The 14,537-nt window shown below is 35.8% G+C and overlaps 1 protein-coding gene across 14 annotated transcripts in view; it reads right to left on the minus strand.

Annotated features, from left to right (window-relative positions):
• Positions 695–14,537, minus strand: part of A1CF (APOBEC1 complementation factor) — an 86,219-nt gene continuing 72,376 nt past the window's right edge. For all 14 annotated transcript variants that reach the window (XM_011539729.4, NM_001370130.1, NM_001370131.1 and 11 more), the window contains 3 exons: positions 12,326–12,462; positions 11,180–11,328; positions 695–8,166 (listed from right to left, as the gene is read on the minus strand). In XM_011539729.4, the coding sequence (XP_011538031.1) occupies positions 8,015–8,166; positions 11,180–11,328; positions 12,326–12,462 (438 nt within the window). In that variant the 3' untranslated portion in view covers positions 695–8,014. The remainder of the gene's footprint in view (positions 8,167–11,179; positions 11,329–12,325; positions 12,463–14,537) is intronic.

Genomic DNA, 14,537 nt, shown 5'->3' on the forward strand with positions numbered 1-14,537 from the left:
GAGACAATAAATTGCTATCTTATTTAAACTATTGCTATTTGGGAATACTGTCACTGCCAACCAAACCTAGTCTTAGCTAATTCAGAATTCGGCATCAAGAAGTGGGGTGCTACAGGTAACAGAAGCTAAAATATGTGGTATTAGCTTAGGGCAAGCTTAGCAAACTTTCACTGTCAAGGACCAGATAGTAAATATTTTAGGCTCTGTGGGCCATATGTGGTCTTAGTTACATGTTCTTCCTTTTTTTTTTCTCTAAACCAGCCTTTCAAAAATGTGAAAAACATTCTCAGCTCAACCTTTTAAAAACATAACAGTCATTTTTAACTCAAGGGCCAACAAACATCAGGCAGCTGGATTTGGTCCTGGAGGAATAGTTTGCTCTAGTTCTTAGGGATCAGCAGATGCCCCCAGGCAAATGTTGATTTCAGGGCCCACTTACCTTTCTGGAGTCATGTTTTCTCAATATTTTAATTGCTAAGTATTTCTCTTGTCTTTTTATGGATTGAAAAATAATGCATTTAATTATTAAAAGTTGCATTTAATCTCAGAAGAGTGAACTTATATAGAAGATGTGAATCATGTAAAGAAGTTGTCAAAACCACATTGCAATTATGGATTATTAATATTCAGGTATTTACTCACAAAAAGAAAAAATTTTATTTTTAGGAAAGAAAAAATTAGGCACCAACTCATATTGATAATTTTTAAAACTTTATAATGGCACTTGAAAATTCAATTAAAACAATTGCATCATCCAGGAATTATACAATATTGCATTGTCTCTCATTTCATGTGATTTATGATTCTAAGATGCCCATTATGTTAATATCTTCCAAACCAAAGATTATTTTCCCAACAAGTGAATGGTGTAATTTTACTTAATATATTTAGATAGATCACAAAGTTCTATAAAACATTGTACTAAAGTACAAAAATAAGTGCTTTATGCACACTTTTTAATACTGTCTTTGTCTCTTTTTTGGTACCTCAGCTAACTAACTTCACATAAATAAAAATAATAACAAAAAAGAAAAGAAGAAAGAGATTGTTAAACATCTGGAAACTATAAATGCATTTTGCTGACAGCTTGCTTTTCATTAAGATATAGGGAATAACAATATCGGGCTGTATTGCAGTCAGAAACATAGAAGAAAAGGAGAATTCTCTGAAGGAATAAGAATAAAAATTCCAATGGTTACATTAAATATTTAAACCAGTGATAATGATGAATTGATTTAAATAGATTTATCTGTAGTCTGTGTGCCCAAAGATATCTTAGGAATTATAAAGAAAATGCCAAGTTTCAAAATAAAATTTACATTTGTAAAAAGGTATATATACTTTATTGCAAAGAAAGGCATGTCTAAGTCTTGTGATATAGATTTTAAAATTTTATAAACACAAATGTATTTAGAAAACAGAAATAGTTAATGGCCAAAATGTTTTCAAGTAAATAAAATGTATAGGTACCTGCTCATTAACATCATAAATCAGTAGGTGAATTTATCAATTCCATGTTTTAATTCTCCTTCTGGACCTCTAACTAACCTTTTTCTCCTTCTATTTTTGCATAGTCCTTTATATTTCTCCTGGGGGAAATATTTGAAAACTCATTTTACTTAAATAACCATAATAGGTGAAGTGTTAAATTCACCTTTTAAAAGGCTTATTGTATCAGTCCAGAGTTTGGCAATAATAGTGGAAACTTAAGGTTTAGAACAGAGTTGATTTATTTTCAGAATTCTAAGTGGCAAAACCTATCAGGTGTTGCAATTATATTCAATTTTGAAAAATGCAGAATGGACCATGGGACTGTGTGCCCCAATTAAAGAGAGAAGTAGGAAATATATGTATTTGTATTCACAGTTTCTGGTATAAGAGTAGGTGCATAGTAAACACAGGCTGATCATATATTCTCTGAAGAATAGATTTGAGGGTTAATAACAATAGAGCCTGTAAAACTTGTTTAATTTCCAATGTTAGTGAAGAGAATAGAGGGAGGGAAAAAGGGAAATTTTATGAAAAAGGAAAATAATCTCTCAATGTTATTTTCCATTAAAAATAATAAAACCTTTATATGACGTGATGTGAGGATTTTTCGTGAAGAATGGTTGATGAACAATCATAATGATGAAATCAAATGCAAGGGAATTAGTGTTGGAGCAAATTTGTGAAGCAGAAGGAAAAAAGGCAATATCCTTTTTAAGGTGAAGGTTAACGTAAGACCTGTCTGTTTTGGGATAGAAGTAACTCAACTCAAGGAAGAAAGAAACCAATAAATGCTCTAATACCCTACTAGTGCCCTGTGGATCTCTACAGACCAAGCAAGTGTCCCCAAGAGCTATCTTTTGTCTTGCCCCACCACCTAACCTGGCATAATAATGACTAGCTTGCTCTGCCATATGAAGGCAGAACTCAGGACTCACAGCCCAGGGGTTATGAGAGGAAAACTAGGACCAAAAATAGGCTGGGTAGAGAGATAGTTGGACAGAAAGTGGATTGATGGAGATTTCAGAGGAGGAAGTGATCCATTCTTCTCTGTTTACTATGACCCTGCTCAGTCAGAAAGAAGTAGCTAGGCTCTTTAGTTTAAGCTGTTATCTGCTTTGGAGAAGACAAAGCCAATTCTACAAAATTAAAAACAACAAGAAAACAACAACAACCCATAAAGATGGTGGGGTGTGTGTGTGTGTGTTGGGGGCAGACACTGTATAATTTGTTGTCTAAACTGGGACACGTTTGGAAATAAGAGGGATCATTGTTAATATTTATAGAAGGACAGCAGACCTAAGCCAGGACTGTCCTGGAAAACCAGAATGTATTGTCACCTCAGAGAGACATTGGTAAACCCTGAATGGGGCTGATATTCTTCATTCTCCAAGAAGGCCTGTGGGCAGCTTACTTTTTTAAAGATACTGTTTCTTGGTATCTCCTATTCCCTTAGACAAAGTATCATTTGTGGAAAGAGAACAAGCTGTATTCTTCTTCTTGAATTTCTCTCTCAAAATAGGAGAAAAGTCTGTAAGGGGGAGGTAGGTACAGAAGAATTCCATATTTTATTCCAGGCATCTTCAGATGAATGAGGTATTTTGGTTTTCAGGTTATTTTCCCTTTCTAAATTGGCTATGAATTTCATTATTAGTGAGAGTACAAGGTTTTCTTTTAGCTTTCCTACAAAACCAAGGAGAACTGGGGGCACATAAAGTTTGCAATCTCCCACAAATGAGCCTACATATACATTGCTATCTATATTAAACCTATGCATTCTATTTTCTGTATAAACATTGTTGGACAACATGGCTTTAAAAATGTTGGACATTTGGAGGGCAATAGAGTATTCTGTACCCATTTTTCCTTTAATAAAAAAAGCTTAAATATTTTACTTTTTAAGAGAGGGAATGGGAGTCAGAAAAATCTCATTTTCCTTAGTTTCACTCATTATAGCGCAACTTACTTTGTTTTTCTAATGTTGGCAAACACAAACATAGAGCCTGGTAGATACATTACACTTTCTATGAATATGTTCTAGTAAAATTCAGAGCATTTTCAAGATATTATTTGGGCAAACTAAAATTTCAAAATCAAATTTGACAGTTTAACAAAACCTGATTGACAATGGTTGCACGTCAGGTAGGAATATTTACTGCCTAGTTTCTTCCTGTCTTCCAATAAGTATATACAAAATCTTAAGTTATCCTATTAACATTTTCTTTTTAAAAATATTTATCCAAAGTTTCCTTGTAGTGCTATGTTAGAAACTTAGTTTTATCTTTAACAGATGTATTTACAATATATGAAAGTGTATCTACAATACATAAAAAGTGCCAAGTTTCTAGTCTAATTTTTAGATATATTTTCTTCCCCCTGGGAACTTTTATATGAATGCAAGAAGAGAATAATCATGACTTTATGTGAATATTGAGCACATAGTTCATTTTTTGTTGTAAGTTACTTTTAGGAAATCTTAGTGTTAGAGTTGTTCAATAATAATATACTTTATCAAACTTCATAGGTTAGAATGCAATGAAAATTTACCCCGAATATTAACTTGATTGCCCTTTATTCTACAAATGGCACACCTAAGAACCTCCCTGTCTATGTGGATTCTAACTGTGGCCCAGTTGTCCAAGACAGAATTATAAAACGGTCATTTAGAATATAACAAAAATTAATAAAAATGGAACATTATATTGATGCAATATTTTGCTAATCTATGCAATCAGAATAACATTTTTTCTAAAAAATACTTTTAAGTAAAATAAAAACCAATTTCCTGCACAGCTATTATCAGTATATACTTATAGTTTAATTTCTATTCCATCATGAAAAAGTTAAGAAACTGTGGTTTGGAAACAGGTTCCTTTTTGTTAGATATTTATTTTTGCTTTTTTGGAGACAGGGTCTTGCTCTGTCACCCAGGCTGGAGTGCAGCGATGTGAACATGGCTCACTGCAGCCTTGCCCTCCAGGCCTCCAGCAATCCTCCTGCCTTAGCTTCCCAAGTAGCTGGGACCACAGGCCCACGCCACCACAACTGGCCAATTAAATTAAATTTGTTTTTTTTTTTTTTGTAGAGGCGGAGTCTCTCCATGTTGCCCAGGCTGGTCTTGAACTCCTGGCCTCCAGCAATCCTCCTGCCTTGGCCTCCCAAAGTACTGGGGTTATAGGCATGGGCCACTGTGCCAGATATTTTTTGAAATCCATATTTTCTTGACATGAGGTAGCTTTTTAGCAGCATTTCGGGTGCTGTTCCCCAAACATAGTGTTGTTTGGCATGATACCAGATTGGAGGATATCCTAGTCATCTAGGAGAATTATATTTTGTTGCAGTTGAAGGTGCTGTTCTAGATATACTAATGCAGTGGGAGAGAAATAAAGCAATTTGAGAAGAGGCAGCACTTTTATAGGAAAGAAAATAGATACCCAATCCCATTGCTGATCAATTTCCTCCTACTTAAGCAACATTAGGCTGATTTTAATTATCAATAAGCTATTAATTACCAAAATTTAGAGAACTAATTCAAATTTACTGGATGTTCCTAAATTATTGTTTTGTTATTATCACCTGGTTGGGTGACAAATTTTAATTTTTTCTGTAAAGAATTAGGAAGCATTCAAATAAGAAATTACAGAAAAATTGATAGTGATGCAGAAGGTATGAAGGTATTATATAGGTGCTAATTTCTTAAGTCTAAAAATATAAACCTATGCAAAATTAGCCTTTGGTTCTACCAGCAATTTAAAAAAGCCCGTTGTCTTAATAATTTTAAACTTATGGTAGCAGGACTTGCTCTATCTACCTAACTTGGGGAAAGTAAAAATAAACATATGGCATGGTAGACACATTAACACTTTCTATGAAGGTATTTTAATGGAATTCAAAGTATTCCCTAGATATTACTAAAACAAAGTAAAATTTTAGCAAAAAAACCAAAACCACTTCTACCTACTTATACAAAACTGGCTCTAAAGAGGTAAATGGTGTGATAACTTGAGATGGTGTTCCAGTGGTAATTTTCTCAATACTTTGGTATTATTGTATGTTTAGGTGTCTGCTCTTAATATTGTAAACAAACAATTATGACTTTATCCAGAATAATGATTTTTTCTCATAAAAAGATTCATGTATTAACTAATCTTTTCATTGCGATTAAATTTAAAACTTCTCTAAATCAAACCTAATTTGCATTGACAAGACATCCAGAATACCCTTTGCTGTTTATTTGCAAAGATTTTAAGGAAAATCAGAACTTTTGCTCCTAGAATTTGGAATGCTTTTTAGACTCAGTAGAAATTTGCCTGCCCCAATGGACATTTGTTATGTCAATGTAATCACTGTCTTTGAGAATAAAAGCAGATCTGTAGGGGAGTGTAAATTTGGATCTAAGAATTGTTTTAGGACAAGATTGTTTTACTTTCTCATTTTTAGAGTTAGTTTGAAGCCTACGTAAGTTACATTTAAATTCATACTATTTATGGGATAAATATGATTTGGCTATTTGTCTTAACTTAGATGATTTTTTAATTGCATTTTTCTATTTACTAAAAGTGAAATAAAAAGGAAAAGAAATAAAGAGATAGAGTATAAATACAAGAATATAGCAATTCCCAAACCTAGGTGCACATTGAAATCACCTAGGGATCATTAAAAAATACTGATGCCAGGCACCCATCCAAGGAAATTCTAGTGTAAATTTTATGAGATATGTTATTGGCATTAGCATTTAAAAAGCTCTCCAGGAGATTCTAATGTACAGCCTACTTTGGGAACTACTGTCCTAGGAAATATTAGACGCTAAATGTAAAGTAGAAAGCACAGGGCCTTTCAGAGTTTCAGCTGTAGCCTTGGAGGCTTTGTTATCTCATTGGAGTTAGGACAACTGAAATGTTACAAGTACTTCTGATTGTGATTAAAATTTACCTGATTTTGATTAGAATCTGGCCTGCTTTTTGATCACAGAATTCCATTAAGGAGTTGACAAAATTTTCCATGTCTTTGTGTTTATGTTTTCCTTTGTGTTCTGTAAATTTTTTTAAGGGCCAAGGGATTTTAAAAAATGAAAATTCTAGTACTGTGTCTTAAACCACTAATGAGATTGATGTAGGAGTAACAGGTATTTGGTGTTGGACTTAAGATTATTTATGTTTGAACAAAGCAATCATTTACAAGTATGGCAAGAAAGTAGTGCCTTCTCTTTACCTCTGTTCCGTGTTTTGTAGCACCGTTGCCCTCCCCTCACTTCATCATCAGATATTTCTGGAGAAGAGGCCTAGGACTCTGGGGGGAATTTGGTAAATAACACCCATGCTGATTGTCTGAAACAGTTTCTAATCAGCAATGATTGCTGTAAGATTTTTCTGTGGCAGCTTCAAGACAAAAGGACTCAGGTATGGTGAAGCTGCCTGATACTTACTGAAACAAAAAGGAAGGAAAGTTAGAGGATTTCCTGGCAGATTTAAAATAAATGGGTTAGATAATGCAAAGCTAATCCCAAGTTAATATAAGCATCTCTGATTGCTAGATGGTGGGGTGGATACTGCAACAATATCAAAGAAATGAGAGCAAATCTGCACTTCTCTCTTTAAAATGACTTTTCAGTCAATTTGCTGAAAGGAAGAAGTATCATAAATGATATTCTGTATATCTGATTTACTTTTTTATGATATTAGGTAGGAGAAAAATGAGTCTGAGATGATGAAAATCAAGCAATATGAACAAGTCAAAAAATTTTAAAGTAGAAAAGGTCATTTCATGCTGGCATGATTATTGGAAAAGGTAGGAGTTCTAGGGAAAAATAGGTGTGGACTAATGAGCTGAATAAACAATGGGGCCTGGATTTGTTTTAACCACATCTACAACATATCATATCTATTTCTAGGAAGTCCCCATGGGCTGCAGGGGACAGGAAGATCCTGATCTGTGACAAATCGACTGGATGGAATTTTCAGGCTGAAGAGAGGTTGAAACCACAAAATCTTGGACAGTCTTTCATGAGCTCAGGCCTGCAATCATGCCCCACACAGTGAGCCATGGTGAATGCATTTTGAAAAGCAACCTCCTCCCTTCCCTTTTCCTCTTTGTGACTTTGTGTATCACAAAAGCAGCTGTGAGCCAGAGGTAAGACTCTGGAGTTTACTTGGCTTCCCTTGATTATTACTGACTGCCCAGGTCTGCTCCATCCCTCCCAAATCTTGCCAGCTACAAGATCTCTCTTCACCCTGGCAGGATTTGTAAACATACTCCCCAAACACTCAGGAAGACTGGAAGAACAACTTTTGGGGCAGTGGCTCTCCAGCTTTCTGTTAAACAAAAGGCTCTTTAACATTTGATTTCATTTCAGAATAACGTTCTTACTTCATGATTCTATAATTGGTATAAGCTATACAGTCTCTGGAAAGGCATTTCTTTAGGAAACATATTATTTATGATCATTGGGGACCGAGTTAGAGGTTTATTTCTTTTTTTTTTTTAATAGAGTTTTGTGTGTCTTATTCTTAAATTTAAAAAAGCATCTTCAGAAGGTGCCATATCCATCCCCTCGGGCAGTCACTGCAAAAGTTGGGTAGACCTCATAGGTTGTATATGCTGCTAAGTCTTGTCCAAGGGTTACCGCTTGCTTGAGCTGGGCTGCAGACACGGGTGCAGTTGCATTAGGGACAGCATATCCTGGAGGAAGAGGCAGAGAAAACTTGATGAAAGGAATTCACATTTGCTCCCTTTTGGCTTATTTGTCTTCTTTTAGAAATACGAACATTTAACATATTGCTTAAAGCTAAAAGTTAATATATATGTTTTAAAAAGTGTCCTTAAGGACACAATATGTGGACTCAGTGATTTTCAATGATATTTAAACAGTCCTAGGACAATGTTCCCTAAAGTGGGGTCAACCACCTGTGTCAGAATCACTTTATACTTAAGAGAATTAAAGATGCTTGGGATAGGGTCCAAGAAAGAGAAACTTAACAGGATACTGAGTTGATTAAAGCTTGTGATTTTTAGCGTTTTGAGGGTCTCCAAATTTATAAATGAGAAAAGGTGACTGAGGGGCTGGCTGGGCATGGTATGTGGGGAGGTGGGGATCTGTGGGACTGGTTCTCCTGTAACCCCACACCTGCCTAAATGAAACATTTAAAACATTTGCCTTTACCCAAGAAGATGTGTAAAGACTGGGAGATCAGTAGGAGAAATACTGTAAAGGTTAAGTGTGCTTTTCCATAATACCTTAAAAGCAAATGCCTAACCTGTCCATATTTACATGTAACTATGAATGGCAAAAGCACCTTCTTACCTCCCAAGCCCCTCATCAAGCCTGTGCTTGTTGTATTCAGAGGCCTTGATGCTGGTTCTCCGCCTCAGAGAACCAAAGTATCTGAGAATTAAAAAAATAATCTATGCGCTTTCATGTTAGCATTGTGTCTAGTGGATGAGCATTCACTTTTGAAGAAGAGAGCATATTAGCTACTATCTAAAGCATTATTTCTCTGTATTGTTTTAGTTTAAAACCTGAGTATTTCTGAGATTATCCAGAAATTGTAAAAGATAGCAAGAAAAAGAGAGAAGTATACTTAAGTACAAATGGGCACCTATTTTTCATTGTTGTTTTAAACCCCATTTAGTTTATGTGCAGTAGAAGCCTGCCCAACCCCAGACACATTGATTTTTTTCTAGTGGCTTCTCAGAAAGTGGTGGCAGGAAGCTGGTTGGATTATTTTGAACAAAAATTGAATCCACTCTTGGTGCATTCATTTTGGTCAGTAATGCTGATTAATGCACTAGTGAAGTTTGGTCCATTTTCCAAGGATAGGAGACATGTGTTAACAGTTACTTTCATGGTTTTGGAAACAGTATTTCTAAACTAAGTGAGTAATGTAACTGTGTGAGTGTGTGCACACATGCATGCATGTGTTTGTGGCACAGATTTTACCTTTAGGGATTTTGAATTTTCTTTTTCAACTTGGTCAATTTGTTAAGTGCCAGGGTGTTTGGGTTTCAAACTGATTCTTCCCTTGGAGCCTATTATTCTTTGCTTGACTCCACAGCAAAGTTATAAGAGAGGCTCTCAGATTCTTAGGCATTCCCAAGACAACACTCATGCCCTAAATATTTTTAACTTCTCACAGAAGCCAGTGGAAGTGAGAATAAGATAAAACATTCTTGGGTAAAAGCAAATCCTTTCCAATGTGAAAGCAAACTTTAAAATTCTGACAGTGGCTCATTAGTTTAATAGTACATTTGTTAGGTGTCTTTGGGGTGCAGCTTTCTGTAAGACAGGGGCTCAACTTTCTCTAGGAACTGAGAAGCCCTGGCAGGCATCCTGAGTAAATGGACATGTAAACACCCTGTTATGTGGAAAGCAAGCACTGGCTGCTGGCCCCACACTGCCCAGGAAGGACCTTGCCCTCTGCAATGTCAGCTGTTACCTTGGTAACCTCCGAGGGACTCACCACAGAGCATCTCCATGTTCTTACAGAGAAACAAAGCCAGAATTGAGGTCACTTTCAGATGTGAAACATCATTAATGTTAGCCCCACTGGCCAGAATGGAGGATATATTCAAAACTTTTGAGAAAAAAAACCCCAAAACCAAAAAACACTACTGAGAAGGAGCCCCAGGTGCAGTGGGTGTGAGGAATATAAAATTTTTCACACCTACGCATGGCCAATATATGAATTAATTAATCAATAAGAATATCATGTTTCTAGGTCTACTTAGAGCTCTAATTTGGACTTATGTGGCACACGCTGACACAATGAGAAGTAAAAAATGACAGATTTCTTTAATAAAAATAATCTTTTACTAAAAAAAAAAAGGATAAAAAATTTTCAGCTGAGAAAAAATTTCCTAAACAACTTTCTTGCCTGGTCCCCTTCAATCTCTAAAGGATTCAGTTTTAATTATTACCATTTGTTGTGGGTACATAACAAATGGGGACAAATCTTTTAAAATGTGACCTCTGAAGGCATTGTTGATCCACGGATAGGCTTTGCTTTAAGCAATCAGCATATGCCCCAGACCAAAATTATAGAACAAATAAATTGAGTTGAGTCCTGATTATTCACATATTGAAAGGATCTCTGTCTGTCTCTCACTCTCACAAAATTTTTGACTTTAAAAAATCTTTTTTGAAATCAAATTAATAAAAGTAGATTGAAGACTGGAGAGGGAGAAAAGATTGCTGAAAAGCTAATTGCCAGTGGCCAAATTACTTAATCTTTCTGTATATGGGCTCTTCATTTGTATACCAGACTTTCTGATGGAACCTAACTCTTGGTGGTATCATGAGTATTACTAAGATATTATAACGCTTCCTGACCATTTAAGTGAGTGCCTAGCACACAGTAAGATCTCCAATAAACATCATATATCTATAGGTAGTTTCAAACTCTCGTACTAAAAGTAAAAACCAAAACAAACCAGACTCAGAGAGACTGACTCATTCAAGATCACACAGCAGTTTAAAGCTGAGCCGAGACCAGAACCCACTCTGCTGCCCAGCTTGATTTTCTTGCCTCGTGTTTTAATGAGTCACTCATTTGGGAAACTCTTTTTGGTCCCAAGGTTGTGCAAGTCAGATTGCTGTAAGTAGGGTACACAAACATTTCTGTGATTCAATGGTACCAAAAAAGGGTTTCCCAAATACTCTCTGCAGGGCGCCATTTCTGGCACAATTTTCCCATACCTGGGAAAGCAGTAGCAGCAGCAGCAGCAGTAGCCATGGTGCCATCGCCTCCATCAGTGGGGATGCCCAGGGTCTGCAGGGTGTATTCGGCTGCATACGTCTTTGCTTCATCCACAAAGGCACTCAGCTTTGGAGGTGTGAAAGGGTGGCTGGAAAGCAAGTCAGTCAGGGTAGGCATTTTTAAACTGGTACAACTGAGTCAGGTGAAAACTTAAGGCACTATCAGCTTTGTAAGATGACTGGATGGTGGTATTTTGAGTGGGTGTTTTTCATTCTGTTTGCTATTAAAGCTTCTAAATATAGGTTGCATGTAGAAATATTTACAAATTGATCTAGAACATCAGTGGTTGATGACATTCCTGGGACATACAAGTAATTCACTACATGGCTTTTCTAAAGCACAAGTGAAACAAATTGTTCCTAAAATATATAGAAATGCAGGCTCAAGGTAAAATTCAGGAGGTGATATCCACTAACAGAGAGGTCATATCTTTGGTCCAAAATTAAATGATGGGCCATTGTCTTATTATGTATAAAATGGTAGTTTCATATGCTTCAACCTAAACACTGCACAGATGAAAGAATGGGCTATAGCTTTGTTTGTTTGAAATGGAGTCTCACTCTATTGCCCAGGTTGGAGTGCAGTGGTACAATCTAAGCAAACTCCACCTCTCAGGTTCAAGTGATTCTCCTGCCTCAGCCTGCTGAGTAACTATGACTACAGGCGCCTGCTGAGTAACTATGACTACAGGCGCCTGCCTGTACCGGCTACTACATCCGGCTAATTTTTGTATTTTTAGTAGAGACGGGGTTTCACCATGTTGGCCAGGTTGGTCTCAAACTCCCGACCTCAAGTGATCCAGCCAAGAATGGGCTATAGTTTTTATTTCTATTACATTTTACACTACTGACTGTTATCCACTGGCTGGTGATACTACACAACCTTCATTGTGTATATGAAATTTGGGGGCCTTTATATGCTGGTTTCATGGCTGGCACATCCCAACTACACATCTCAATATTTGCATTGAATGACAAATGAGTAGGTAGTAGACCTCAGTATCTTGTTTAGATGGTGACTAAATGCATTTAATTTATAAGTGTATCCTGCTCTAAAATGGTAAGGAATTTGGAGAAGTTACGCACATTGCAGGATTCTGGCTGGCTAGAGCAGGAATAGTTATTTTGTACAAGAATAGCTGTCTTTGGTCTTGTCCAATAGCAGAGTGCAGCTGGTACACTGGCTGTCCCCAGTTATTTTTCTGACAAATCTCTTCTAATATCTACAAGAATAAAAAAAGTTATTTCCCCCTCAAATGACACATTCACATTATTTCCCAAGTTTTCAGGTTTTTAAACTCTAATTTTCAGAGTTCAAGCTAGTATCTGAAGACATAAAATGCCACATGATTTAATGACTCATAAAATTTAAGATGAACTCAATTTGAACTCCATTTAAAATGTTAGGTCTATTAGTTCATAAAATCACTTTCACACCATTTACTGTAATATGTTTTTAGTTTAGTCTATTAGCTGTAACTTTTTACCAAAAGCTTAATTTTATGATTTGTTTGGAATATTTGTTTTTGTAAAAATTGTTGCTCCAACACTGTGTGTATAGATTTGTATAGATTTACTCATTATTACTCTCAATCTCTGTGTTTATAATGGTTTAGAGATGATAGCCTAAGAATATATTTTTATTTCGTGACATTTGTCATAGGGTTTTAATCTCACAATTTCATAAAAATAGAATTAAAAAGTTTAATGCTTGGTATTTATCGAGTGTTCCTAGATGGGTGTTGACAGTTGCAATGTTTTTATTTGTTTGGTAAGACACTATTTCTGCCTTTTTTGTTTGTTTGTTTGTTTTTTTGCTTAATGACAATATGCTTTTTAGCATCCTCCTGCATGTTTTTTCTTCTGTAATTACTCCAAACTGAATATTTTCTAAAGATTCATAGTTTCTTTATTCTGAAGCCATTTTTGGTTGTCCAGAGGTCCTGATGCTCTCGTTAGTCAGCAGATTCAGTAGACTGTGGAAAGCAGGGCATAAGCCTGAGAAAATAACTCTGTAAGACAGAACAATGTCTCAGGATGTGTCTCTGAGGTTTCTTACCTCATTTATGCTAACTAACCCAGCTGCAATAGCATGATATTTTCCAGTTTATTAATTTGTAGATTGTTACTGTTTTTTCTATTGATATTTTCTTTTTAATACTCTTGTTGTGTAGGATCTCTTGTAATCCTCAGAGCATTCTCTACAGTTCTTGGGCAATAATAAAGGAGCTTTTGCTGGTAGATATTATGCCTGCTTGTTTATGCCAGGTGAGCAAACCTGGGCGGAAGGAACACCAGCTCTCACTGCTGACTTTGCAGGAAAGGGCTTGTCTCTCTGCTTCTGGCTGGAAGTTCACAACTCTACTTTGGGATTGTTTAGGCCCCATCTGTGTTGGTTGGTGGTGGCATGGTCTTCATTTCTAAGCCATAGTTGTAGAAGGTCAGACACAAATTAAAGAACTTTTATTAATTGATAGAGATTGTTACTCACATACTAATAAAAGACATGATGAATTTCTAACTTGAGTTTAATGTAAAATGAAGAGATCTCTTTTCATACTATTGCAGCTCTCGGAACTATTATTATACAGAATTTGCGACTATTATTTTTTATTTTCTTAAAATATTTCTAAGTATTCCAGTACTTTAATCAGGTTTTTTGTTTTGGGTTTTAACCTAAGAGAAACTGGATGAGTGGCTTTTATATTTTCTGAACAAACTTCATCATATCACTTCCAGATTTCATTATATGTTTACGTGTCAGTTTTTTCCCACTGGATTGCCATCTAATTTTTCATGATAAGGATTTTGTTATATTCACTTCTACATCTCCAGCACCTAGCGCACTACATGGTGCATAAGAGAAGTTTACTAAATCTTATGTGAACAAATGATTGCTGTTTAGCAGTCTGATAGGCATTTTTTTTAAAATTCCCTGGGTGGGGCTAGCAGAAACCTTAGATAAGCTAATTTGTGCATAAAAGAAAGCCAGAAATCCCATTAAAAAATTACCCAAGATGAGCTTTTAGAAAACCAGTTTTCTTCTGGATTGAAATTATAAGGGCTACTTCCATAAATGTGAGGCTATAAGCCCACCTTTGTCATGGGAATAGGGAAGTTTCCTTCAAGATACACAAACTGTAACTCTGATTATTCAGCCAAAATGTATTTCAGAGAGATCAGCACCTATCACACTCCCACAGGGAACAGTCTCAGGGTTAGCATAGACTCTGTTTTGTTTTATTTTTAACCCCGGGAGTCAGTTTCCATATTGAAACTTTTATAGCTTTTAATTTTC

This window comes from Homo sapiens, chromosome 10 (genome assembly GCF_000001405.40).
Source record: "Homo sapiens chromosome 10, GRCh38.p14 Primary Assembly".
NCBI lineage: Eukaryota > Metazoa > Chordata > Mammalia > Primates > Hominidae > Homo > Homo sapiens.